Here is a 26,583-nt window from a genome sequence, read left to right on the forward strand (position 1 = left end):
GTGGGTCACTAGGTCCCATTTCCCTGGGAGGGAGGTTTGGGCCCAGCTCAGAGGAGGGGGTCATGGAGGGTGAGGGAAAGGACATGAGGTGGAACTCCGGATGTGCCAGGCATGTGACATCTGCTCCCTCTGCCCCACTACAGCACTGGGCAGGGTTCCTCACCCACCTGTGCTAAAAGACGTGAGGCTGCCAGCCCACAGCTCACAAAGTGGGTGGCTGAGGGGGCCACATTCAAGCCTTGGTCTCACGGAAGCACCCATGGCCTGCAGTACCAAGAGGAAGGTTCAGAGGAGCCAGGGCCCTTCCCCAGACCTCGGAGGCTCCTGAGTCCTCAGTGTGTGTGAGACATGGGGCTGGTCATATTTCCCATGAGTTTGGGAAGAAGGTAGGATCAGCAAGGTTCCCACAAATAGCTCCCACCTTGGGAAACCACTGTCTGGAAAAAAAAAAAAAGTTTTTTTTTATGCATTCCATGATGTGTACAAGATTGGGAAGTAAAACACAAGAAGTTTCTACTGTGTGTCAGGCTGTTTTTTTCTTGGCTCTCCTCCTGCCCAAGTGCAGTCACAATACCCAAAGCAGGTGGCTCCTTGGCACAAGGCTTCTGTCTTCATCACTGAATTAGGCCAGAGTATTCTGCAGCGCCAGGTAGAAACACTTGCACAGCTAGAACCAGCCAGCCTTGTAGGTGTCTCTTACTGCGGCAGCTTAAGTGAAACATTTACCTTTCATTTCACACAGAAAGTGGAAATAAGGCTCTAGAAATACATTCACACTAAAGTGTCAATGGTAGGTACAGGCCATTTCTTCCTTTGGCAAGTGTCTCTTGAGAGCCAACTAGTTAGGAGTCAGAGACTTTGTCCTGGGCAATTCACTTCTATTGTGAGAACTAAATAAGCCTGGCACAGGCTTTTGATCCACATTTTATATTTTACTTCCCAATCTCTTCCACATCATGGAATGCATAGGAAAGAATACAATATTTTACTTCCCAGTCTCTTACACATCATGGAATGCAAAGAAAATAATATAGTATTTTACTTCCCGATCTCTTACACATCATGGAATGCACAGAAAAAATACAATTTTTTGCACAATGGGATAAAGTAGGTAATTGTATGGGGCTTCATGAAAAAATCATTATCTTTTGGTATATATTTAATTATGATAAAAATAATTTTAAAGGTATTGGGGAGGTATTAAAGGTGGAATTGATATAAAATATCAAAACAAAGTCTTTTTTAAAAACTTAATGAGAAACTTGGGCTTGCATTTATGTACATACTTTTTTATGTCAGTCTGTTTGCTCAAACTAGCTACAATTACTGAACAAGACTTTTAGATTACTCTTTAGGTGAGGGAGTGAAATTGCCAACAAGCTCCGTGGGCAACTGGGAAGACAATGGGCCTTCACAGCAGGCACACACATGCCAGTCTCAGAAGGATCTAGGCGAGCTCAATAATGGTTAGGTGTTAGTATCTGGGTGTTAAGAAATCTGCACATTTGGAATTTTCTGAAGATAATATGTTAGAGATTTGGAACTCAGACTCCGGTGTGGAATTGCGTCGTTGCTTTAGCCTTGTGGCTTTAGGTTAAAATCTAAGTTCACGAACAGTGTTGGAACATTAAAGAGAATGTAAAATTCAACATACTTCAAGTTCAACTTACTAGATACAAAGACTCATTTAATTAGCTGGGCATGGTGGTGCATGCCTGCAGTCCCAACTATTTGGGAGGCTGAGGCACAAGAATCCCTTGAACCTGGGAGGTGGAGTTTGCGATGAGCTGAGATGGTGCCACTGACTCCAGCCTGGGTGACAAAGCAAGTATCTGTCTCAAAAAAAAAAAAAAAAGACTCATTTAAAAGACTCAAAACCAATTTACTATCAGACCATTGACATAATTAAAAAAGAAAATGAGTATATTAAATTTTTAAAGCCAGTTTAGAATGTTGGAAGATGTTTCCTTTATTAAATTTGTGATTAAAATCAAATGTTGGCCAGGTGCACTGGCTCAAGCCTGTAATCCCAGAACTTTGAGAGGCTGAGGCAGGAGGATAGCTTCAGCCCAGGAGTTTGAGACCTGCTTGGGCCACATAGTGAAGACCCCCATCTCTAAAAAAAAATTTTTTTAATTAGCTGGAAGCAGGAGAGAAGTGGGTGTGGCCCTAAAAGGGCAGCATGAGGGATCCCTGTGGGGAAGGAGCTGTTATGCATCTTTTCCTACTTTTACATTTTTTTAAGAGATGGGGTCTTGCTGGGTTGCCCAGGCTGGAGTGCAGTGGCCATTCACAGGCGCGATCCCATAACTGATCAGCACAGGAGTTTTGACCTTTTCCATCTCTGACCTGGGCCAGTTCACCCCTCCTTAGGCAATCCAGTGCTTCCCTGCTCCCAGGAGGTCACCATATTGATGCCCAACTTAGTGTGGATACCCAATTGGCACAGCACACTACAGCCCAGAATTCCTGGACTCAAATGATCCTCCTGCCTCTGCCTCATGAGTGGCTGGGACTGCAGGCACCTGCCACAATGCCCAGCAGATGCTTGGCCTCTTGAGTGTGGTAGTGGATACAAAATCTATTCTGTGTGGGTGATAAAGCTGTACAGAACTAAATACACATGCACACACACACACACAAATGGATACAAGTAACACTGAGGAAACCTGAAAATTGGTGGAGTGTATCAGCATCAATGTCCTTGTTGTGATATTGTACTATGGTTTTGCAACCTGTTATTATGGAGGGGAACAGGGCAAAGGGCACACAGGATCTCTCTGTATTATTTCTTACAACTGCCTGTGAATCTATAATGATCTCAAAATAAACAGTTTCATTTTTGGTTTTTTGTTGTTTTTTTTTTTCTTAAAGTGCTTTGGATCAGGAGGCAGGGACCTGGGATCTGGCCATGTTGTTCCAAGTCAGTCACTGTGTGACCTTGGGCAGTTCACTTCTCTTCGCTGCTTCTGTTTTCCTTAACTGGAAGATAAAAGTTTAAATTTCCTAAAGGTGTCCCCCAGTGTGGACAGCCCGGAGTCAAGGCTGTGGTGTTGCTGTGACCTGAGGCCTCAGGTCTAAGAGGCTGCTCCTCAGCTGCATACAGTGGGCAGGCCTCTATAGCATGCCCTGTCCCCTGGGGGACCGCAGTGGCAGGCACAGCACAGGACGTTAGGTACTAGGACCAGGAGTCCTGGCCTGAGGGGTCACTGGCTGCCGCAGGCTTGGCCAAACTGGCCTTAGGCCAGATGCTCCGTGTTATGACCTGCACCTGCTCTCTGTGGGAGGCAGAAAACAGAGCTGGGGCATATATGAGCTGGGGCACATATGTGCTGGGGCACATATGAGCCACCTGGGAGCTACAGAGAGAAGAGCAAGGAGGAGGATGTCGCGCCAGGCTGAGGTCAAAAACTGCGTGCCTGAGTCAGCCAGCGTCCAGTCTGGAAAACAGAAACCATGCTGGGTATTTCACAAAGAGGGGATTTAATTCAGGGGCCTGATTACAAATAGTTTCCAGGGCACAAGGAGTACAAAAGGAGATGAGAGATAACCCAGAGAATTAATAACCACAGGAAGTGAGCGCACCCCTTAGGGCTGGAGGATCACAAGACAAGAGGTCCTGGTGTCTGAGCAGAGGAGTGCGCTGCTGCCGACAGCACCGACCCGCGGGGGTGGGGGTGGGGGAGCACTAAACTCCTGCAGTCAGTGCCCCACCAGAAGTAGAGTGAACAATGGTTTCTTTCCTCTACCCACCTTCCTACAGCCTGCCAGAGCCCACCACTGGCCAAATGTAACTAAACCCCAGCAGCAAGGCGCCTGGGAAATGAAAAAGCAAGGCCACCAAGTTGCTCTTTGAGAAGTCTGACTCCAAATACACCACAGCCTGTTTACCAGGACCTGTGAGCACGGACACGTGGACGCAAACACTTGCTATTTACTTCCTTCTTGATGTATATTTTTTGGACAACATTCACATTCTTATTTTATTTGACTTTAGGGAGTTATTGGTTTTTCTTTTTTAAAAAAAATTCCTTATAGAAATAATAAATAATAGAATTTACAAAAATATTTTAGAAAATTCCATGACTCATAAAGCAAAAGTAGAAATCACTGGGAATGCTCTGCTGCCCCCATGATGGTCAATGTGAATATTTTGGTGCTGGTGTGGCGTGTCCTTCCTGGCTGTATCTGTAAATGTGTTGGGTTAAAATGGGGTCTTGGCTTCTCCATGGAAAGCAGGACATGCCAAAGGATCCCCATGACAAAGGTCCAGCCACATAGGACTTTCCAGGGGGCATTCTGCCACTTTTATTAGTGCATTGCCCATGCTGATGACAGAGAGGAAGGCAGGAGGGTACCCCAAGCCAAATACAGGGAGTGTCAAGAGAGTGCTCTGAGAACTTGGCTGGGTCCCTGGAGGTGGGGTGGGGAGCACCAGGACCCAGTACCAGATGTGTGCCTGGAAAAACCTAAGAGCGAGGCCTGCAGCAGCTGCTGCCTCTACAACAGGGGGAAGAGGGAGTGAAGGCAGAAGCACGTGGCCTTCCCTGGGCAGCAGGGTCAGCTGCACTAACTGGCTTCTCTAAGGGGCCTAGATGGCTTGGACAGACAAGGCGAGTCCCCCACCAGGGGAATCCCAGGTGAGTTGGCAGCCAACAGGCCAGAGCTGAGAGCTAACAGCCAGCAAAGGAAGGGCGCCATCAAGGAACCACAGGTGCGGCCCCTAGCACAAAAGCACCACGGCACGAGAGAGGGCGCCTCAGGGCACAGCCTGGCAGAGAGAACTTCAGAGAGCCCCAGCGACCTAGGGTTCAGCCTTTGCTCTGCCCACTGGCCCTGGGCAGAGAAGGGGTGGAGAGAGGGGGTGGGGCCAAAAGCACAGTTGCTAAATAGGAGAAAAGGTAAAGTGAGGAAGAGAGAAAAGCCCCCACACAGAAGCTGCCCCTTCTACTGAAGGTTTTCAAGCCTGGGCTGGGGAGGTGGGTGTTTGGATTGGATAAAAGATTGCAGCTTTGGTTTCAGACTGGGCTGGATTTTCTAATCTTGAAAAACAAAACCATTCCTGGATACCCGAGACCCATGTGTGGCAACTGAGCCCTCAAAACAAGACTGGTCCAAATAGCAATGTGCTGTGAGTGTAAAATACACATCGAACTTCAAAGAACTGGAACAGAAAGAACGTAAAATATCTCAAAAATTGTTCTATTAATGTATATGTTTAAGTGATAATGTTTTAGAGATCTTGGGGCTAAACATAATACATTATTAAAGTTAATTCTACCTGTTCCATTTCACTTTTTCTAATGTGGCCACTAGAGCATGGAAGCTTAGGCATGCAGCCGCTGGGCTCTGATCATCTTTCTCTTGGACGCACAGCACAAGAACACAGCTGAGGTTTCTTCTGGGGCTGGGAGGAGGGCTCTCCTTGGCATTCAAAGGGGTGAGGGGAGAAGGTTGAAAGTTACTTTTCTGTTTTCCCTTCCAACAGACTATGCAGTGCCTCGGTGGCACAGGACATCGGCAGCAGCCGCACGGGAATTTCCCACCGCCCCTTTACTTCACTCCAGGGTAGTTCCTGTTCTGGTTACTTACTTCCAGGGCAGTTCCTGTTCTGGATGAAAGCACAGCAGGGGATCTGTTCATTCTTGGGTGATAAAAACTGGATCCAGTGTTGAGTCCCCTTCTCTCCTCACCCCCTAAACCCCCTCCAGCCTGCTGCAGCCAGGGCGGGGCGGCACAGTGGGCTGCCTAACTCTTCTTCACACCCCTTCTCCTCAAAGCCATTTCCAGCCCTTCCAGTATGGAGACGGGAAAGGGAGAAAGGAAAGCAGCAGGAGCGCTTTCACCCACTGATGCCTGTGATGGGATCTGGCCCTGGCAGAGGTGCTTTCCTGACTCCTTCGGAGATTTCCCCCACCACCCCCCACTCCAGGTGCTGCACGGCGCACCTTTGGCTACAGACCCTAAGGAGGAGAAGGCCGCTCTGTTCAGATTGGCCACTCCCTCCTTCCTCGGCCCCTGGGCAGCCAGCCTCACCTCCAGCCCCTGGGGTGGTCTCTTCCCACAGGAGCTGCCACCACCTTGGGCCGCCTCACTCTCTCACCTGGCCTCTGGTCAATGGGAACGCTTTGGCTCTTCTTTCCCATGACCCACTTGGGCTCCAGCATAAGAGCAGGCTGCCAGCCTGACTTCACCCTCTGGATCATCCAAGCCTGGGTCTGAGGCCAGTCTCTATGTCCCTCATGCTGCGGGGGTCCCAGGTTAAACTCTCCCAGCAGGCTCCTTAAAGCCCTTACTTCGGATGGACTAGACCAGTTACACCCCTCTTCTACCCCCAGGATGGCTCCTGCCCCCACGAAGCTCTTTCTGAGGCCCACCTCTCAGCCTTTCCTCCCTCGATGAAAGGGAGCTTTGAGGGATCATGCAAAGCATTTTCCCAGCCCCTCCGTGGAGATTCTGCAGGTGGTTGCCCCAGGAGAAAAACACAATCTCAAAGCGCTCTCAGGATATTTGCTAGGAAAGGAGATGCTAATGGTGAGGAAAGCCAGAAGCACTGTGGGATTGGGGTTCCCAGGACAGCCGCCAGCCCAGTCCTGGCAAAAAGCTTCCTTATAAGGGTATCCTACTGCAGCGCTGCCTCGCAGCCACCTCTAAAGGCCCTTTCTGGGCCTCATCAGCCAGCAAGCGTGTCACATGCCTGATGTCACAGGGCTGTGGCTGTGGTCATGCACATGGAGACAGCTCCGCTCTCAGCAGGCGCTCTTGTCTCTGTCACAGAACATTTTCATTCTGGCACAGCTGTGCACCTGCTCAGTAATGTCTCCTGTGCCCTCAGAGGGTCAAGTTGAGAACCCGCTCCTCAGCTTCCAGTTAGTTGTATCTGGCCCTCCTCCTTGGTCGCTGTAGAGGTCTGCTCCTCCCTGAAATGCGGAGCCTCTTGTCTCTGTCTGTCTACACCAAACTCTCCGTGTAAGCATCTACTGCACACAGGCAAAGCAAAAGGGGTCCCTCCCTTTCATGTGTATATGTGTATAGAGTGTAATTGAACATCTTTCCATCTTATTGTAGGTACACATTGTAGTGTGTCCCCATGACAAATCCCAGAATCCCTACAAGGCAGGTGTAATGAAACCCCCGCTCAGCTTGGCTTAAGGCCACCCGTTTCTGTTACAGTCACTTAAAGAGCAGTGAGGGGAGCAGGCTCTGGCCAGCAGCCCTTGACAAGCTCTGGATGCCCTGCTCTCCATGGGCCCAGCCTGTGCACTGACCCTGTCTCTGAGTCACCATGGCCCAGGGAGGGTTAGAATAAAGTAGAGAATTATTAAATAAACCAAACCCAAAATAATAATATTTCATGTAAGTTTGCACATAGTTTACAAATTCTAGGTGTTTCATCAAGTTTAAAAGAAATTAGCCCTAATGGAGTAAATATTCACCTTTTTTGCTTCTAATTTAAAATATGTCATCAGCTGAGCTTTGTGATTTTTACTTAAAATGTCCTAAATTTATAAGCAGTATAGAAGACTTGAGAGAACTCAAAATACACCATATTTCTAGATTTAATCTATTGGATTCATAAGTTGTTTAAATATTCAGGAATATTTTAAATAATTCTAATAATTAGAATACTTACAGGAAAAACAGAAACTATTACATTTATAAATACAATTCTAAAGGTTTAAGGGAATTTAATCCTTAAGAAATTATTAAGAAATAAAGTTGTCCTTAAAATGATTGCCAAAAATGTTAGACAAAATATGTACAATTTTCAAAATATACACGTACAATTTTACAATTTGCTGGCTGAAATTAAATGCCTGAGTAAAAACTGGGTTTTTGAATGTGTGGGTTTAATGAGTGAGATATTAACTCTATAAAGCAGAGTAACCTCTGGTTAACCTTTCCTGTAACAAAAACTTTCTTCAAGGACAACAAAAGGTGCCATGAAGGAGGCCTCCTTTCCAGGGCCGGTCAGAGGAAGCCAGAGTGACCCTAAAGCCCACAGCACTGTGGGCAAAGAAGTGGAATAAAGAATAAAAAGAATAACCATAACTTAAAGAGGGCAAGTCTAGTCAAGGTAACACCTGCCTACCCAAGGGGTCACAATCTTTATATATTGCTCCAAAGTTTCATTATCTGGGCAATAATTTCAAAATTCATCACGTATCCCATTATTATATAAATCTACTCTTCAATTCTTTGTAAGGTTGAACCCTGCTCAGCGCAGGGACGTTTTGCTGTGGGGCTGTGCAGCCTCAGCAGCTGGGCCCTTGCTGGCCAGTCCCTTCCATGGCCCTGCAAGGCGACCTGGCAGTGTGTTCACATAATTATGTGTTGTGTAAATTTCACAGACTGTGAGTATATCAATAACAAGTTTAAAAATGGAATTGCTGAGACCCAGAGGCAACTGAGCTGGTTTGGGGCAGAATCAAACACTGTAGTTAAGACCCTGGACTCTGGGCGGGGCACCATGGCTCACACCTGTAATCTGAGCACTTTGGGAAGCAGAAGCAGGAGGATCACGAGCTCAGGAGTTTGAGACCAGACAGGGCAACAACTGGCAAAACCCCATTTCTACAAAAAAAATGCAAAAAACATTAGCCGGCTATGGGAGGTCGAGGCTGCACTGAGCCATGATCGCCACTGCACTGCAGCCTCAGCGGCATAGTGAGACCCTGCCTCAAAAACAAAAACAAAAAAAGACGGTGAACTCTGGAGCCCAAAAGTGCAAATCCCTCCTCTGCCATTTTCTAACCGTTGTGATTCTAGGCAAGTTTTTCCATCTCTCTGTACCTCTGGTTCCTTATCCTTACAGTGGGCATGCCAGCATGACTGCCCTGGTAGAGCTGATAGGAGCTCATCTACAGCAAGACTTGGCCCAGGGACTGCTGTACAAAGACCTGAGAGCTCTGAGTGCTGCTGCCGCCACTTCCCAGTGGAAATCGGGGGTGTGGGCTCTCTCCTTGGGTCTTAGTCAACTCACGCTGCCGTAACCAAATACCACAGGCTGGGTGGCTGAAACAACAGACATTTATGTCTCCCAGGTCTGGGGGCTGGAAGCCCGGAGGCTGGGTGGGAAGGCGGCTGGGGCAGCTTATGCAGAGAGAGGAGAGACAGGAGGCCCTCCCAGGGGTAACGAATGCTGAGGCCGTCGTTTAGTAGCCACTCATATGGGGTGGGCTCAGGACAGGAAAGCCTCCCTTAACCCCTCAACCACCCCACGGGGAAGTACCACCAGGATGCCTGCTTCACCCATGAGCATGAAAGAACTTGCCACAGTCTCCAGATGGTAGAGGGCTCTGGTGTTCATGCCATGTGATCCAGCACCCAGTAGGCCTCATGGAGCTCACTGAGGGCCCATTCCTCAGGCCCTGTTAAACACCACTCCCTCCGCCTCGAGGAGGCCATTAAAACAGTTTTCCTTTCTAATGCTGCTGGAGCCTGCAGAGCTGCAGGAGTGGGGGCCTCGCCTTTCCCTCCTCTCCACTCCATCAGTCCTGCCTTGGGTTCCCTGGGCTCTAGGCCTGGCAGTCTGCTGTGAACAGAGGTCTAGAGGTCCCTGGTGACCAGCAGTCCAGCCCAGCGCAGGCTGGCAGTGACCTGCCCTACTCCAGCTGCAGAGCGATGAAAGCCCAGATTACATTCCAGGGTCTCTCACTAGGCCATAAAGCCTACAGCCCATTGGCAGCCCTGCCCCTCACACACTGCCGCCTGTGTGCCTCCAGCTCCAGCACTTGGAGCTGTGACGGCGAGAGGCCTTCTGTGCCTTGGGCTCTGCAGTGGGCAGATGACGGGACGCGGTCATCTGTGACTTTCTCTAAGACCTCGGGCTTGACTCCATGCTGCCATCATTCATTATTAGCTCCATCCTCTTCTTTGCCTCCAGTCTATAGAGAGAGATTTTTTTTTTTTTTTTGAGACAGAGTCTTTCTCTGACGCCCAAGCTGGAGTGCAGTGGCGCAATCTCGGCTCACTGCAAGCTCCGCCTCCCGGGTTCACGCCATTCTCTCGCCTCAGCCTCCTGAGTAGCTGGGACTACAGGCACCCGCCGCCACGCCTGGCTAATTTTTTGTATTTTTAGTAGAGACGGGGTTTCACCATGTTAGCCAGGATGGTCTCGATCTCCTGACCTCGTGATCCACCCGCCTCGGCCTCCCAAAGTGCTGGGATTACAGGCGTGAGCCACTGCCAAAATTTTTAAAGGCCCAGAGGCGGGTCATGCAGAGGGGCTGGCATCGGTAGTCAAGAGCTGCTTTGTGCCAGGCACCAGGCACCTCCTTCTCAACTCTTGTGATCCCAATTTACAGATGAGGGGACTGAGGCTCAGAGAAGCAGTAACAGCCCAGCCTGCCACTGAGGCAACTGCTCAAAGCATTGGATACACGGGATGGTGGCCAGAGGGAAGAGCAGGCTCTGCATTGAAGAAGGAACCTGGGTTCAAATCAGGCTCCACTATTTCTTTGCTGTGTGGGCTTAGGAAAGTCACTTAGCCTCTCTGAGCATCACTTCCTTTGTTTATAAGGAAGGTTGTAAGGTTTAGAGATCACGAGTAAAAAGCCTTTGGCAGTTAATACATGTTCAATAAGTGGCCATGCCCATCCTGTAATCCTCAGAAGGGCAGGTGGGGCTTAGAGGACAGAAGTGGCCTTCAGATGACTCTATCCACCAACCAGAAGCCTGACAAAGAGCTCCTTGTACTAGCAACCTTGCGTGTAAGTCATTGGTTGCAAGGAAGAGCCCCCAAGCCCCAACAAGCTCACAGGTAAGTTATCATTGGCCATGAGATAGGCTGCCATCCTTTAGAGGGGCTCCCTACCTTCAGGTGCAGTGGCTCATGGTGGCCCAGGTCACGGGTACCAGCACCTTGTTCTCTTGGTCATCAGTCAGCACTTAGATGGGTCTTCAGGTCACCAGAGACAACAACAGAGGGAATGCTCCCCTCTTCTAAAGCTTCCTCATATCTGTCTCCCCAGTGGGGGTCAGACTCTGACCTCCCCTGCTGCCAGAGTGGCCCAGGACTCACCTCAGCCCTGCTGGTCTCCAGTCCTGCAGACCAGGTGGGATATCCCTCCTGAGAGGCCCACACTCTGGCTCCAGGACTGGCCAGCCCCTCCATAGACTCCTCCTCCTGTTACCCTCCAATGAGACATTGGGGCTTGTTATATTTTTTTTGTATAGAATGCACATCAGGCCAGGCACAGTGGCTCATGCCTGTAATTGCAACACTTTGGGAGGCGGAGGTGAGAGGATCGCTTGAGGCCAGGAGTTCAAGACCAGCGTGGGCAATATAATGAGACCTTGTCTCTTCGAAAAAATAAAAATAAAATTATCCAGCCATGATGGCATGCACCTGTAGTTTTAGCTATTCGTGAGGCTGAGAAGGAAAAATCACTTGGACCCAGGAGTTCGAGATTGCAGTGAGCCATGATTGTGCTACTGCACTCCAGCCTGAACAACAGAGCAAGACCCTGTCTCCAAAAAAAAAAAAGAATGCACACGAGATATCATCACATCTGCACAGAGAAATGCACAAACACAGAAGAAACCCACATCTGCTCTGTGCTCCTCAGCACCGTGGAGCTGGGGCCACTGATACACACAGGATCACACAGTATGAGCACAGGACCAGGCTACTTCTGAGTGGCAGGAATAGAATCCCAACCCAGAGAGGCCTAAACAATGAGGAACTGAGTGCCACATCCCACAAATGGAAAGGCTGGAGGCACGGCACCCCCAGACTGAGTAATTCAGCAGCTCCACCCTAGTCAGGGCCCGAGTCAGCCTCTCTGTTATTTCTGTGGCTTTTCACTCATCTTCTCACAGAGGCTGTGGCAGCTCCAAGCATCATATCTTTACACAATAAGGCCTAAGGACATAAAAAAGCCACATCCCAGAAGCAGCCCTCTGTGGTGTAAAGCCTAAAACTAATATTATTAATGACATTATGCACTGCCTTGACATCTGGTGAAACCGGGAGGGCCTCGAATGGCCTAACCACAAGTTCCCCTCTGCACACCTCTACCCTCCTTCTCAAGGGGGCCGGTCACAGTTCCTGCTTGTCCCTGCATTTCCATTCCCTATCAGCCCACAGAATTATTCAAACAAGCCAATCACACCATCAGATAGAAACTAGGGCCACCGCATCCTCTTAGTACTGCAAAGTCCGCCTCCCCCAGCCCGTGCCAGGTCCTTCTGCTCCCACCGCAGCTCCCATGGGCCCTGCGTCCTCCTCTCCCAGGCTGTGGGCATATAAGCCTCAGAAACTTTTGTCTGTGTCTTCTGTCCAGTGTGTCAACGTTGTGTGTTGGGCCATCCCCATAACCCTGGGATGAGAATCCCTCCTTCACCAGCAGGGTGAGTGGGAGTCGATGAAAACACCCTGACCCACAGCAGAGCTCTCTCTCTAGGGCAGAAGCTCCCTGAGGAAGGGATGTTGTTCTATCCCGTGTGAATTCCCTGTTCACACAATAGTGCCTAGAAAAGAGCAGGTGCTTGATGCAGATAGAGTAAATGTGCCAGTGGAAACCGAGCAGATCAACTCTATCATTGGCAGGGGCTGTGTAGCATGCCCACGCCTGAGCTAACAACCGTCAGGGAGACTGGCATCACCAGGACTGGGCTCGACCTGGGGTCCTTCTCTGGTGTGCAGGGGCGGGCAGGTCCAGGGTGCTGAGGTGCTACTTCCTCAGGCCTGGAAGAGGCCTCTGCCACCAGAACCAGTTGTAATAAAATTATATATATATACTGTCTTGAACCAGTTTTGAGGCCCTGGTTAGATGCCAGTTAGTTTACTTTCCTGAGCAGTTAAGTCCACATTCCAACCCCTTCCCTTAGGGGGCTGCCACTATGACCATCTCTCCAGACCACCATGCCCCTGCCCTAACTGCCTGGTGTCAAGTTCCAGACCAACCCGGGATGGCTCCCAGCCTCCTGAGCCTGCAATATTGTGTCAATGAATCAATTCCCAGGGGGCCCATGAAGCCCACCTAAGCCACCCCGCTTGCCGTGTACGAGCTGCCCAGATAGTCCCAGCGTGCTGGTCTGTTGTCCCTGGGTGAGTCCCCTGTGTGGCCCTGCCTGGCAGCTGGCTCTCTTTTGGAGCTGTAAGTAACCAAAAGCTCCGCCTTTCATCTCTTCCAGAGTGTTTGTGTTGTGTCCATCATCAAAAGAACATTGAAATCTTACAAAACAATTGGCATTGTGAGCAGGATGGCATGGCCGTGACACTGGCCCTTGGACAGCTTCGTCAGGGACTGCCCTTGGCTTGTCATTTTCTCCCAGGCCACTTCGAGAGGGTTTGGGGCAGAACTTGAGCCTACACTTCAGCCCAGTTGCCTGCTGCTGCGTCTGCCAGAGATTGCCAAGTCTCTCCCCACCCAAATGTCCTCAGCATGGGACTAATCAAAGTGAACAGAGCTAACTGACTAAACTTCAGGACTAGACACCAGCCCAGGAGGCTCATGTTAGGGTGAGGGGAGTGATGAGAACCAGAGCAGCTCTTCTCTTCCTGGGGGGAGGCGTTCCAGTGTGTGTGGTGGAGGCCTGTCCTAGGGCTCATTACATCTACAGCGTCAGTGTTTATTATTATTTGGGGCAGAATCCTGGCTTGTCTGTGTCTTTCGAGCAACTGCTGTGAAGGAAGGTGTTGCCAGACTCCCCCCTGGTACAGAAGTGAAACCCTGGCCTCAGTGCTGACGCTGCTCAGGTGGGGGCTGCAGCCTACGTGTCTCCTTTGTGCTGCACACCTTGCTGCTGTCACCAGCAAACTTCACACTCTCCTGACCCCGCCACCACTCCCATTAGTGCACTTGGAGACTCCTTCCCTGAAGATTCTTTGGCAGCCTCCTCCAGCCTCCCAGAGTCTCTGGACCACCAATGCAGCCATGAGTTGCCTGTGGGCTTCTGTTGAGAAAAAGCTGTCCTCCTTGGCTCCACGCTGTACACCTTAGAGAAAACATTGCTGGTCACATACTGGGCTCTCCTGAAAATAGAGGCTTTCAGAGCCCCTGAGCCTGTGGGCCTCCCTACAGCTGCCCATTATTCTTTGGATCATGACAACCACACCCCACAAGCTTGGCACAGCTACCAAGTCCTCCCTGATGTTAGATAGAGCCAAGCCTGCACCCGCTGGTCCATTTCACCTGCGTGAAGGGTGGTCTCCCATGTCCTCAGTCCCTTGTGAGGTCACCCTCCCCCGGACCCCTTAGCTATCTGGAAGCCTCTTGGACTAACTGAGTGAGGCCATCTCTAGACACGAGCTCTTGGGCCAGGGCTTGCAAGGTTTTCAGTGGCTGCTCACCAGACTTGCTTCTGCTTTCCCACGCAGGAAGAACGTGATGACCACACAGACCACGGTGAAATGGAAATGATACATCAACGCAGGAACAAAGCCATCCACAAAAGAAAGCAGTAAATCTCTCTAAGGCTGTATTCATCAATATGAGTGCAGGAGCAGCTGGAAACCATGAGACACCCACGGCAACAACGTGTGTGATATCGAGGCCTTTCTCAAAATCGCAGAAACTGTAACCGTGTGTGTGTGCACACTCGCGTATGTGCCTGGGTTCAGGCCCAGAAGCTAGACACTGCTTTCCAGACAGATTTCTTAGGGAAATCCTGAATTGGAGCCTCAGAAAACTCTGGTACCAAACTTCTCATTTGTGAATATCAAATTTAGCCAAGCTCAGAAAGTCCCTGAGGACTCTCTTCATTTGTCCACAAGTTACTCAGAAAGTCCAGAAATCCACTGACCTTTGTTAAGAAGCACCACCAGGGCCAGGTGCGGGCTCGCACCTGTAATCCCAGCACTTTGGGAGGCCAAGGTGGGCGGATCACTTGAAGTCAGGAGTTCAAGACCAGCCTGGCCAACTGTGAAACCCTGTCTCTATTAAAAATACAAAAATTAGCCGGGTGTGGTGGCGCGTGCCTGTAATCCCAGCTACTGAGTCTGAAGCAGGAGAATCGCTTGAACCCGGGAAGTAGAGGTTGCAGTGAGCAGAGATCACATCTCTGTACTCCAGCCTAGGCAACAGAGAGAGACTGTCTCCAAAAAAAAATAAAAAAAAAAAAAAAAGGAACAAACACCCGCCGCCTGGCATGGTGGCTCACACGTATAATCCCAGCACTTTGGGAAGCCAAGAAGGGAGCATCGCTTGAGCCTAGGAGTTTGAGACCAGCCTGGGCAACATGGCAAAACACTGTCTCTACAAAAAAAAAAAATACAAAAATTAGACAGGTGTGGCAGCGCACACCTGTACTCCCGACCCCTTCCTCCCCAACACAGAAAGAGCAGAAAGAACCGAGTCCCTGAATTAGTGCAGCAGGTCCAGATGCATGGGCAGGACTTCTGTGAACCACGTTCGCTTCCCAGCGATGAAATGGAGCCTCTGGGCTTTAAGCCATCCCTCAGGACCCCTGAACCAGGCCTGACCCCAAGCAGAACGTGCCAGTGGTGAGCCTGCCCTGTCATACTTCTGAGCTGGGCGGGCTCCAGCCCTCCCTCACAGGCCCGAGAGGCCACCGGAGGTGAAACCTTTAGAGCCACCTCAGCAGGTGACTAAGGGCTAATGAGACCCCGTCAGTGCACCAGGCAGTCTGGTGAGCCGTAGAGAGAGTGAGCCCATGAGAGCTGGGTTCCCATGAAGGCTGGGCTTCCACTGGGGCTGAGAGACTTTATTTGCTGATGACAACCCTGGAAGCTTTTTGAATTTGCTTTCCTTCCCTAGCATCGCAAGGCCACAGTGACCCCTTGTAAGAGCTCACAGTGAGGCACTCACGTTGTGTCAGCCTTGGGTTTCGCTGGAGGCTCAGCTGTCAGCTGTGGGGTTGGCTCAGGTGGCCGTCCCATCTTCTGCTGTATAGGAATTCACGGTGCGGTGCCTCCTGCAATGAGCAGAACAAGAACTACCACTTGCTAGGAGGGTAGGTACAGAAATAGCCTTAGGCCTGGGAGGTGACAGCCTGGAGACGAGGTAGGGATCTGGGTGTGTGTGTGACAGCCAGAATGTTCCCTAACAGAAGCTGCATTCAAACAGGGGAGAAAACTTTTCTCCTGAGAGTGAAGCTGTGAGACAGGGCATGGCACGTGTGGGACAGCAAAGAATCCTGGGGGAGCCCAGGGGGCCTCTATTTATGTCAACACCAGCTGTCATGTCCCGGGCGCTGCCTCATGCCAGACACTGCCAAGGGCACTCACACACATTATCTCGTTTAATCCACAGACAGCCCTGGGAGAGAGATTAGCATCACTATTGTGTAGACAAGGAAACCCAGGCACCGAGAAGTCAAGTAATTTGTCTAAAGTTGCACAGCAAGGAAATAGCAGAAGGGAGAGTTCGTTTGTTTGTTTGTTTGTTTTGAGACAGAGTCTCACTCTACAGCCCAGGCTGGAGTTCAGTGGCATGATCTCGGCTCACTACAGCCTCCACCAACCGGGCTCAAGCCGTCCTAGAAGGGAGATTTTTAATCCAGGCCCCGAGGTCACTCTAATCTGAGTGCTCTCTGAGGTCTGGCAGAAGGGAGGAATTCTGTGGCACATTCATGATGTGATCAGAGGGAGGATGGTGCCTGTGAAGAAGACAGAGGTGCCGCGCTGACCCTGTGTGCAGCCAACTCTGGGGAAGGCAGTAGGCAGAAGAGAAAGCCAGGGGCCCCAGGTCAGAGGTGTCAGGCACCGAAACAGGCAACCCCTTCTTGGGAAGGAAGGCTAAGGCACAGGGCAGCGAGGCCAGCACGGAGGGGCCGCTCAGCAGCCCCGGGCCGCCCCGGGACAGCAAACATGCAGCCCTTTCTGCCTAGCCCTGCCTCTAGCCCTGCCTCGCAGAGGATGGGACCATGTGAGGGTAGGGAAAAGAAAGAGGATGTCCCCAGAAATGTGGCATCCGAGGTCTCCTGCCCAGCTCTGCAACACACAGGAGTTCCCGGCCAGGCAGAAGGAGGCGACCTCCACAGATCAGCAGGCTGGAGCCAAGGTGTGCGTTCCTTTAGTGGGTTTTCAGTTGCAAATTCTACATCCTTTGTCCACTGTTTAACGAAAAAATGACGTTTCCTGCCCTCAGCCCAGTGCTTTCTCACCCCCCAATACCATCCTACCATCCTCAAAGGGAGCCGTTGTGAGGAGCGCAGTTTCTGTCCGTCCAGGTGTGCATTTACCTCTGTATCTGCAGACACATTTTATTAGAAGCAAAAAATGGATTATGCTTTAAGCACGGATCTGCCACTTCCTCTTTTACCTTGAAAGGACGCTGTCCCGGCATCCTCCGGTGTCAGCACATGGACATCCACTGTCCCTTTTCCACCCACGGCAGGGTGTCATCCCACAGCCTGGACACAGGCCTCCTATGCCAAGTGGATTAAACACTTCATGAGAAGAGACTGTCCTTTCCCACATAAAGAGCAAGTGATCGGGCCTGGAGCTGGTGGGGAGAGACTGTCATGTCTCGGAGGACCGGGTAGCGCCAAGATTCTGACCTCTCTGATTTTTTAAGGGGTTTGGGGAAGGTGATGGATCGAGAGGTGACGGGTTCTGGCAAGTGAGAGTTTGGAAAGATGGTGGGGTCTGGAAAGAGATGGGCCTGGGGGGTTTGGGGTCTGGGAGGTGATGCAGAGGGGATGGGTCTGAATCCTCCTCACGATGCAATGCCTAGTCCTGCACGGTCAGGGTCACTCCCAAACAAACCGGGCTGGTCGGATGCAGGCAGCCCTCCCCTCCACAGCTGTGGCTGCCCTCTGCCCACCAGCCTCTGGTTTCCTACATGCCTCTGAGGTGCACCTCTCTGGGCGCCTCCTCATCTGTCATCCAGGTGGGGCAGTGGCGAGTCCCCTCCCTTCCTTCTAAGGCTTAGCAGTTCTGAATCATAGACCAAGACCCGGGGCAGCCAAGAGCTTTTCCTTCCTTTTCCTTTAGGCCCTACTGCTTCAAAAACAGGTCTGTTGCCACAACAGGAACCAATGCACCCAAAGGACACAGTTTGTGTCATGGGCAGCAAGTTTAGGAAACCAACAGGACAGGCCCTGTGGGGTCTGAGGGTTCCTCAGCTTTCCAGACGCCTGCCTGTGAGCTCATTTTCCCCGCCCTTTCTCCCTGTCCTTCAAGAAGCACTCATGGCCCTGCCCATGGGCCAGGTGCTGCGCTAAGCACTACGCACTGAGACGTGAAGTAGCAATTTCCTACTACCCTCCATGCAAACATTCCATTCTTCTTTTGCAGCAAGTTTTTGCATTCTGCTTTGTTGAGTTTTATGGTTTTGATGTGTTTCTTGATCTCATGCTGTTCCTGATCTCCAAGTCCCCTGTGCCAACTCAGAGACATCTGGGCTGGTCCCTGTGCCCTGTTTCTTCTGGCTGTGCTCCAAGTGCTTGGCCCTGGCCAATCATTCCAGTGACAGAAGAAACAGTAACCCTCACTGGACCCTGCTTTCTTCCCCCAGAGGAGAACCCACATTGGCCTTGTCGAAGGTCTCGATGGCCCCACCCTGGAGTGCCTACACCTGCACCTCTCAGGCTCCCACATGTGCCTCCCTGTCCAGCCTGGCTCCCTGTGCTCGCAGAGCCTGTGTGTGACACTAGGGGAGTGTGTTTGAGGCTGAATGAGTGGCCAAGTCACCAGCTGGAAAGAGAAGCTCAGAGAAGGAACGAATTCACCTCTCTATGAGTTCTAAAAGATCATGTGCAGAAATGAAAATAGTTGCCTTGATTTGGAAGAATCGGGGGCATTAGGACAATGCCGTTTTTGTCTGTTTTCTAAGTAAGGGTGCATTTTTTTCCAACAGAAAATAGGAATGCTAAGAAGAAGGGTATCTATCAGGAGAGCCTCCACTGCCACAGTCTCTCTCCTTGACTATAGGGCCAGGCGGCTTCTCTAGAAGGTGGATTCCTGGTCGTCCACGAGGGAGTGACCTCACTCTAAGGGGCGGGGGGGGGGGCGCCTTTGGAGGAAGCCCCAGGTGGAAGTATAAGTTTGAGCAGGAAAGGCCTGGGGCCAAGGTCATTGCAGGATGCATCTGCGAAATTCTGTTATTTACTTAACAACCACTCCAGAGTCTAAGAAGGCAGGCAGCGGCCATCTGAGGGGTGCTGTAAGTGAAACCTGAAGGGAGATGCTTTGCACTGGAGCAAACCAGCCTAGCCCCAAACATGCTGAGACTACATTCCAAAGATCCACTGGCCCAGCCCTGCAGGTCTGATGTTTCGGGCAACGTGGGCCAAATTCCTGGTGCAACTTGCTGGGCAGGTTGTGAGCTCTCCTGTGGAGGCGCAGGGTCCAGTCCCTCTCTGGGGCAGAGAAGGTGGGCTCCAAACAGGGAAGAAGAGGGGTCTTACTCTTGGGGTTCAACAGAGGGAATGGACTAAGTTCAAGGTATGCGGCATACCCTTTGCATTTTGCCTGAGCCCAGCCTGTCCCTGGCCTTTCTGGGTCTGCCCAGGAGCCACCTTCTCACACAGGTCACAGGCCTCCCTGGCCCCAGGACTCACCTGCACTGTCCCCTTGGCCTGGCACACTCCCTCCCTCTTCCTGCACATCCACATTCCATGCAACCTCACAGGCCTTCCTCAAGTTCCGCCGCAGCATCAGTCCTGTTCTCCTCCCCTTCCAGAACTTGCCCCCATGCCTGTTCCTTCTGCCCTGGACTCCTGTGGTTGTTTACATTCTGCCTCCTCCCTGCTCTATCGCCTTCCTCAGACTCACTGTTGATCTCTGTATGTGCACTTGAAGCCTGCAGTGTGTGGTGCGATGCCAGACCCTCCTCCAGGAGACAGCAAGGGGCCTGGTGTGTGCTGTTCCAGTGTCGGGAAGGCTCTCTCCCTTCACCTGGTAACCACTGCTCACCAATCCAAAGGGCCCTTCCTCCCACAAGCTTCCCTATAGGCCAGGCTGGGCCGGTGCTGTACCTGGGCTCCCTGCAGTGTGCTATGCTTGATTAAGATCTGCCTCCCAAGCCTCATAATAAGCTTCAAAGAGGCAGGGGCCCCTCCTCCATGGCAACCCCATCACCCAGCGCTTACTGAACTTGGGCTGGAGGCAGGAGGCTCTACTGAGTTTACTGTTACATCTGCAGAGCGGGCACAGGGGTACCACCCAAGAGGTTCTCAGAAACAGGGCCCCACTGTGCAGCCTGCCCCCACCCCAACTTTGTTCTAGAACAGTTGGTCCATGTGCCACCTACTATGATCTGAATGTCTGTGTCCCCTCCCCAAATTCCTATGTTGAAATCCTAACCCCCAAGATGATGGTATCAGGGCTGAGGCCTTTGGGAGGTGATTAGGTCATAAAGATGGAGGCCTCATGAATGGTATCAGTGTCCTTAGAAAAGTGGCCCCAGAGAGACCCTTCACCTCCTCCACCCTGTGAAGACACAGCAAGAAGGTGCCGTCTGTGAACCAGAAAGTGGACCCTCAACAGACACGGAATCTGCAACACCTTGATCTAGGATTTCCAGCCTCCAGAACAGTGAGAAACAGGCTCCTGCTGTTGACAAGCCTCCTGGTCTACCGTAGTTTATTACAGCAGCCCGAACAGACTAAGACACCGTCTCTGAGCACTTTGCCTGCAGTCATGGACAAAGCATGCCCAGCACAGGCCCTGACCAGGTGCCTCTCAGCCTCACGTGCTGTCCCTCTTGGAAAGAGCTCTCCTAGGGAGCAGGGACTCTGTCTTTCCTACTCACACACCCTCTACCCTCCATCCCCATCCACAAGTCACCCAGACAATGCCAGCCTGTTTTGTGCTCAGAATATCATGAGGACTTTGTCGGACAGTGGCAGAGTGCCACATCTCCCTGGTTCTAGAAAACATGATCCTACAAGAGGGTGGGGAAAAGAGCACATGCGGATCATTGTCCCTGGAGGCAGTGGGCACACGGAGCCCATGGCCCATCAAAGGACAGTGCCCTGGTGAGCAGCCACCACTTCAGATTTTCCAGTTTGTGGATTTTGTGCAGTAGACACAGAGCCTGCCTGCTGGAATCAAGAGGCCTAGTCACCAGCCATGTGGCCTGCGCACATTACCTCCCATTCCTAGCCTGTATGTTGGGTGACACCCACCAGCAAGCCTCTGTGGGATTAAATGAAGCCATGCAGGCAAAGTGCCTGTGGCAGTGCTGGGACTCAGCAAGCCCTCAGTAACAGGTTCCCCTCCTGCGCTGACGCCATGGCAGCTGTGGCTGCCATTCCCCCATCCGCCAGCAGGTGCCCTCACTGCTTCATGCCTTCTATGGAACCCAGGGCTGTGGGTGACTGTGTCTGTGAGAAAAATAAAATCCCTAGGGGGAAGTGCGCGTTCAGGGTAGCTCTCTGAACTCATGTCGGCACCCGGCCTCGCCATCCATAAATGGGGATGATGACCCCCACTTCCTTGTGTTCCCAGAGGTGAAGGTCCCAAGCCCTGTCCACCAGGGCAGGTGCCTGGGGCCACACCTGAGATGACCATGAAGACTGGATTTGGGAGGCTGCCGATGTCTGCATGGAGCTGGCATTTGACTGGCAATTGCCCATCTTGAGCAGGGTTTTCATCGAGGGCTCGGAGCTTTAGAGGTGCAGCGTCACTCAGGTTCAAGGTGCTCAGCAACTCTGTGCCCTTGGGCAGCTACTTAACACTTCTGAGCCTCTGTTAGCTCATCAGTAAAATGGGAGTCATCTTACCTACCTCAAAAACCAATGCACCTACTGTTACGGATGGGCAACTCCTGCCCATTAATCTTTCCCTGAACACGTCCCTCTCCCCACAATCTCCTCCCTCCCCCTGAACACACACAAACTGGAGGTGGTAACCTCTTCCTTCCCCAGGCTGGCTCTGCAATGGCAACTTTCCAATTCCTACTTTGTGGAAACCCACCCAAGGCCACGTTATTAATATTTGACAGAAGCCCCAGACCCACCCTCTTATTCACACCCACTGGGAAGACCAAGGATACTCACTGAGTTATTATTGGCTGAAATTATTTTTTCATATCCTGCTGGAAACCAAAATATGGTCCTGGGCTTCTGATAAGTATCAACCACCTCATTCACCAGCAGGTGGCCCAGAGCACCTGCAGAAGCTGTGCTGGGGAATGAAGACAGGCCCATCTTTACTTACCAATGCCTCTCTCTTACCAATGTCTCTCTCTCTCACCAATGCCTCTGTTTTACAAATGCCTCCTCTCACCAACGCCTCTCTCTCTCTCTCTCACACACCAGTGCCTCTCTCTCACCAGTGCCTCTCTCTGTCTCACCAACGCCTCTCTCTCACCAATGCCTCTCTATTTACCAATGTCTCTCTATTACCAGTGCCTCACTCCTCACCAGTGCTTCTTACATCCAAACAGGGCACTTCCATGTCCTCCTCTGGTGGTCAAGCACAGACAAAGCTGGAGTCATCCACCATTGGCTAAGGTTTAATGAGCACTCACCAGAGGCTGGGCTCTGCTTGGGTGCTGAGCATATGCTAGGGTGGGGAAGGAGAGGGGCAGATGGGGGTGGCTGGAGGATGCCCTGCCGAGGGTAGAGTCTGGTCAGGAAGATGAACGTCGAGCGGAGAACTCCAGGTGGGAGGAGGGGGTCACAGAGATAGGGACAAACCCCCTTGACCCTGGCCGGGCTGCCTTCCTCATCCTCTGAAGCCTCTTTCAGAGATTGCTGCCCCTCTGCCTTATCAAAGGAGGGCTGGGACTGCTGAGCTCCACTGAGTTGCCCCTGGGAGCGAGCTTTCCCCAAAGGCTCAGGCCCAAGTAGGAATGAGTTAGCAACAAAGGCTTGAAATAAGTAGGAAATCACCAAACCAAACCACAAACAAAAGCCCTCCAGGCCAGGTAAGGACATTATTAGGAGTTGATAGGATCTTCTTGTTCTTAATTAGTATGTGCTGATAGGAAATCTCCAAGCAGCTTTCGCTGGACTGCCTGAGGGTCATCTCACCTCTCTTCAGGCTGCGGCTTCCTGTGGCCACCTTGCTTTAAGGCTTGTTCCCAGGACGGTCTCCTGGGGAGGAAGAAGATGTCCTCTCAGAGGCCAGCAGGTCCAACTAACGAGCTATGAGATGCCCAAGGTGGATGAGGACCTGGGCTCCTAAAGTCCCACAGCCCATTGTGTCCAGAGAGATGCTGCCCTGGGGACCCGACACAATGGCACCTTGGTTGCAGCCGTCCGGGCTGGCAGCTCACAGAGGCACAGTGGGGTTTTCTCATTTCAAATGCCTGGCCCCTTTCCAGAGGCACTTAGAATGGCCAGCTGATGGGCGTGCTACTTTTGCTTTGGAAAATGCGTCCACGAATATACTTCTCTCCCTAGGGACTGGGAAGGAGGAAGAATTGTGCAGCAGGGAGAGGTGAAGGCCCCACTGGAGAGAAGGGGAGCCCCTTGTCCTGCCTGCAGCAGCTGCCAATGGAAAGAAAGAAGAGTTGGGAGTCTAAGCTGGAGGTTGCGGGGCCAATTCCCTTTTGGCAGGCGAGAATCCGGACTCGGGCGGATTTCAGGCTTCAGTGTTTGTAGGAGGAAACACAGCAATCACACTATTAATAGTAAATTAAAATAAATGGGCAACTGCTGCATGGTAATACTTTTTTTTTTAAGGCAAAAAATAAAAAATAGTGAAACAGAGAAACAAAACATGAAACACCGGCAGTCAACAGGCAGGCAAAGAACCTGGGGGTGGGGGTAGCAGCGGTCCCACCCTCAAAAGGCCCGGGCTGCCCAGACCAAGAGAAAGCGATGAATCTCTTCTGGTAACGTCCCTTCCTGTCGCATGGATTCAAGGCCGACCTGCCCCAGCACCACCACCAGCAGCCTTCTGCTGGGGCCGGCACAGCTGGGAGCAACCTCCTACTCTCAGGCAGACGCGCAGCACCAAGCAGAGAGGCCCGGTGCAGGATCCCAGCGCCGAACCAGCGCCGGCTCAGTGGACGCGGAAGGGGCCGGCGGCCGCGGCCGGTCCCATCCCCCACTGCAGACCCCCAGCCTGTGGCGGTGGTCCAGTTCCGCCAGGAAACCGCCGCCTGGAGCTGTGGGTCGCGCACATTAACGCATCCAGCGGAAAAATGAAGGAGACCCAAATTCAAAGTTAAAGTAATGGTGACCCGAGAGGTGCCTTGATGAGAAGGTTTGGGGTCCCGGTTACTGATGGTTATCATTCTTACGAGATGCTGGTCACCTACGAAGGGAGAAAGGCACGAGGAGCGCCTGACCAAAGTGGTTTTGCCCTGCTTCCCGCAAGAGGTGGCACCCACGGCTGGAACGCAGGAGTCAGACCCACAGTCCCCAGCTCTGGACGCCCGCAGCGGGGCCTCGAAGAGGTTCAGGGCGGTGCCCGCGGCGCTCGGGCCGGGTCTCCCGGGGCGTGGGGCGGGGGGCGGGGTTGGGCGGCGGCCGGGGCTCCTCCCTCTTCTGCCCCGGGCTCCCCTGCTCTTAACCCGCGCGCGGGGGCGCCCAGGCCACTGGGCTCCGCGGAGCCAGCGAGAGGTCTGCGCGGAGTCTGAGCGGCGCTCGTCCCGTCCCAAGGCCGACGCCAGCACGCCGTCATGGCCCCCGCAGCGGCGACGGGGGGCAGCACCCTGCCCAGTGGCTTCTCGGTCTTCACCACCTTGCCCGACTTGCTCTTCATCTTTGAGTTTGTGAGTGGCTCCTGGCCGGGGAAGGGACGGGGTGGGCTGAGCCGTGCGCTCTCTCGGGCGCCCAGCACAGCTGTCGGACGGGATCCGCTAGCTGCGCAGGTTCTGGGAGCATCGGGGCAGCAGGCGCAGGGCGGGGACTAAGCCAGGGAAGTCCCCTCCCACCTCCGGTCCTTTGTGCCCTTCTAGACCAACAGAATGAGGGGAACAGTCTACAGGACTATGGAGGAAAAACTGGGTTCCCAACTGGGGTCAGATGTAGGCAGCGGGGCAGGGGGGGACGGCTCTTGGTTCGCTGGTCCCAAAGCTGCGCGCGGGGCCCACTTGACGCGCGCAGCGCCACCGAAGCTCCCGCCGCGCTTTGCGCGGTTGGGTAGAAGTGCGCAGCTTTTACAAGGGAGAAGGTTTCGTTAAAAAAGAAAAAAAAATCAGCAAGAGAAACATTAGTATTACCAACCGAGATTTGGAGATGAGAGGGAGCTGAATCCGGTTTATTTTCTTCTGGCCTTTTAAAGTTTCTGGCGAGGGAACGTATTTGCGACCAATTCGATCTGGAAATGAGGCCATCGTTTGCTTGGCCGCAGTCCTTCTGCCCCGTGTGCGGGGTGGGGGTGGAGGAGATGGGGGGTGGGGGGTGGGGGGTGGCGGCGAGAGCGATCCGCGCGCCTCGACTGACCTTGGGCAGGCCCGGGGCCTCTGCACCTGCGGTCGGTCCCGCCTTGCACGCACGGTCTCTGCCTGAGGCTGCAGGAAAGCGCTTCCTACTGAGAACTCCTGATAAGCGCTCACGGTGTCGCGAAGCCGAAGTGACCTCCCTCAGCCTCAACTCCCCGGGGGCCGCTGGCCTTCACCTGGGAGGGGTGTGCCCTGTATGTCCTGTGGGTGCGGTCCGTCACCGCCTGAGGGACACCTTTTCCGGCACCCCACCCTCAGAAGTGTCAGCGTGGAGAGTTGGGCGGGAAAGAAAATGTCGGAGCCTGGCTGTTTAAAAATTGGACCCCAGGTTGTTATTGCCTGATTGGAGGGGGAGGGTGTGAATACCAAAGGGAGCAGGTCAGTTCATCCAAAGAGGGCTTGCGGGCAGAGGCTAAGAGGGCTGCGGCGGCCTGGGAGCAGGGCTACCATTGAACTTAGGGTGAAAGTCCAGTCGAACCCAAACCTGGGTGGAACCGGTGACTTGAAATCCTAGGGATAGGCGGAATCAAAGCAGTTACATTTAGAAGAAACCCTGGACGCCAATGAACGCAGCCCCACCGTTTACAGAGAGCCAGCCCCCCGCTGGCCTCCTTTTAGAAGTTCAGCATACAAGAAGGAGTGCCCCTGAGAGTAGGAACAGTCCAGTTAGACGGGGCGATCTGATCTGCGGGAAAGGTGACCGGAGACTCCCACCCAACCCGCCAATGCTGCAGAAATTACAGGGGCGTGGGAAACCTTGGAACCATCTACTACTGGCAGCTTGCTCTTCCAGCGTGGCTTTGTGGCCTGCCGGTAGCGGGGCTTCCAGAAGAAACAACTCCCCCTCGCCCAGAACGCTTCTCTCAGCTGACTTAGAAAGTCACTTCTCCACCTCACCCCTGTTCCCCACCTCCCTTCCTCACTTCCCAGGAGACCCGCAATGCATAGTCATCTCCAGGCATCTTCCACATGCTCTAGATTAGGGGTGGGCTCGCAGGTGCCTGGGAGAGAAGAGGAGAAAGCTGACCCCAAGCCTCTCAGTTCTCCTCTGCATGGACTGTAAATACGAAGCTGTATATATTTGATGTGTGGAAGGAGTGGAGAATTAAAGGGCCTGAGAAGGCGCTGGCCACCCCGGGAGAGTTTTTGTTTTTGTTTTTGTTTTTGCTTTTGAGACGGAGTCTCGCTCTGTCGCCCAGGCTGGAGTGCAGTGGCGCGATCTTGGCTCACTGCAGGCTCCGCCTCCCGGGTTCACGCCATTCTCCTGCCTCAGCCTCCCAGCTACTCGAGAGGTTTTTTTAATTATGGAATATTACAACTCGACAAC

General features: G+C 52.4%; 1 protein-coding gene, 1 long non-coding RNA gene and 1 pseudogene across 6 annotated transcripts in view, besides 4 other annotated features; 1 reads left to right on the forward strand and 2 right to left on the reverse strand.

Moving 5' to 3' along the window:
• Positions 1-1,801: 1,801 nt before the first annotated feature.
• MAL-AS1 (MAL antisense RNA 1) lies at positions 1,802-25,728 on the reverse strand. 2 transcript variants are annotated; one of them, XR_007087136.1, is made up of 8 exons: positions 25,258-25,728; positions 25,039-25,132; positions 22,894-22,956; positions 21,916-22,042; positions 15,777-15,882; positions 14,300-14,310; positions 5,282-13,944; positions 1,802-1,832 (listed from the first exon to the last, which is right to left on the reverse strand). It is a non-coding gene; the product is annotated as an MAL antisense RNA 1 (long non-coding RNA). The 2 variants fall into 2 exon arrangements; XR_007087137.1 differs by lacking the exons at positions 1,802-1,832; positions 14,300-14,310; positions 15,777-15,882 and having other exon boundaries at positions 7,542-13,944.
• RN7SL575P (RNA, 7SL, cytoplasmic 575, pseudogene) lies at positions 2,244-2,542 on the reverse strand (annotated as a pseudogene).
• Positions 12,185-12,284: an enhancer, noted in NCBI's record as "active region_16180". NCBI's record gives its function as "activates an Ori minimal core promoter by ATAC-STARR-seq in GM12878 lymphoblastoid cells {active_cell/tissue: GM12878}" and the evidence as "EXISTENCE:reporter gene assay evidence [ECO:0000049][PMID:35858748]".
• Positions 20,784-21,284: an enhancer, noted in NCBI's record as "H3K4me1 hESC enhancer chr2:95687830-95688330 (GRCh37/hg19 assembly coordinates)". NCBI's record gives its function as "activates a minimal SCP1, AML or CMV promoter by ChIP-STARR-seq in naive H9 embryonic stem cells {active_cell/tissue: H9 hESC(naive)}" and the evidence as "EXISTENCE:reporter gene assay evidence [ECO:0000049][PMID:30033119]".
• Positions 24,307-24,436: a silencer, noted in NCBI's record as "silent region_11737". NCBI's record gives its function as "represses an Ori minimal core promoter by ATAC-STARR-seq in GM12878 lymphoblastoid cells {active_cell/tissue: GM12878}" and the evidence as "EXISTENCE:reporter gene assay evidence [ECO:0000049][PMID:35858748]".
• Positions 24,407-26,583, forward strand: part of MAL (mal, T cell differentiation protein (MAL blood group)) — a 28,285-nt gene continuing 26,108 nt past the window's right edge. For all 4 annotated transcript variants that reach the window (NM_002371.4, NM_022438.3, NM_022439.3 and 1 more), the window contains exon 1: positions 24,407-24,584. In NM_002371.4, the coding sequence (NP_002362.1) occupies positions 24,492-24,584 (93 nt within the window). In that variant the 5' untranslated portion in view covers positions 24,407-24,491. The remainder of the gene's footprint in view (positions 24,585-26,583) is intronic.
• Positions 24,791-25,514: an enhancer, noted in NCBI's record as "H3K4me1 hESC enhancer chr2:95691837-95692560 (GRCh37/hg19 assembly coordinates)". NCBI's record gives its function as "activates a minimal SCP1, AML or CMV promoter by ChIP-STARR-seq in naive H9 embryonic stem cells {active_cell/tissue: H9 hESC(naive)}" and the evidence as "EXISTENCE:reporter gene assay evidence [ECO:0000049][PMID:30033119]".

This window comes from Homo sapiens, chromosome 2, assembly GCF_000001405.40.
Source record: "Homo sapiens chromosome 2, GRCh38.p14 Primary Assembly".
Classification (NCBI taxonomy): domain Eukaryota; kingdom Metazoa; phylum Chordata; class Mammalia; order Primates; family Hominidae; genus Homo; species Homo sapiens.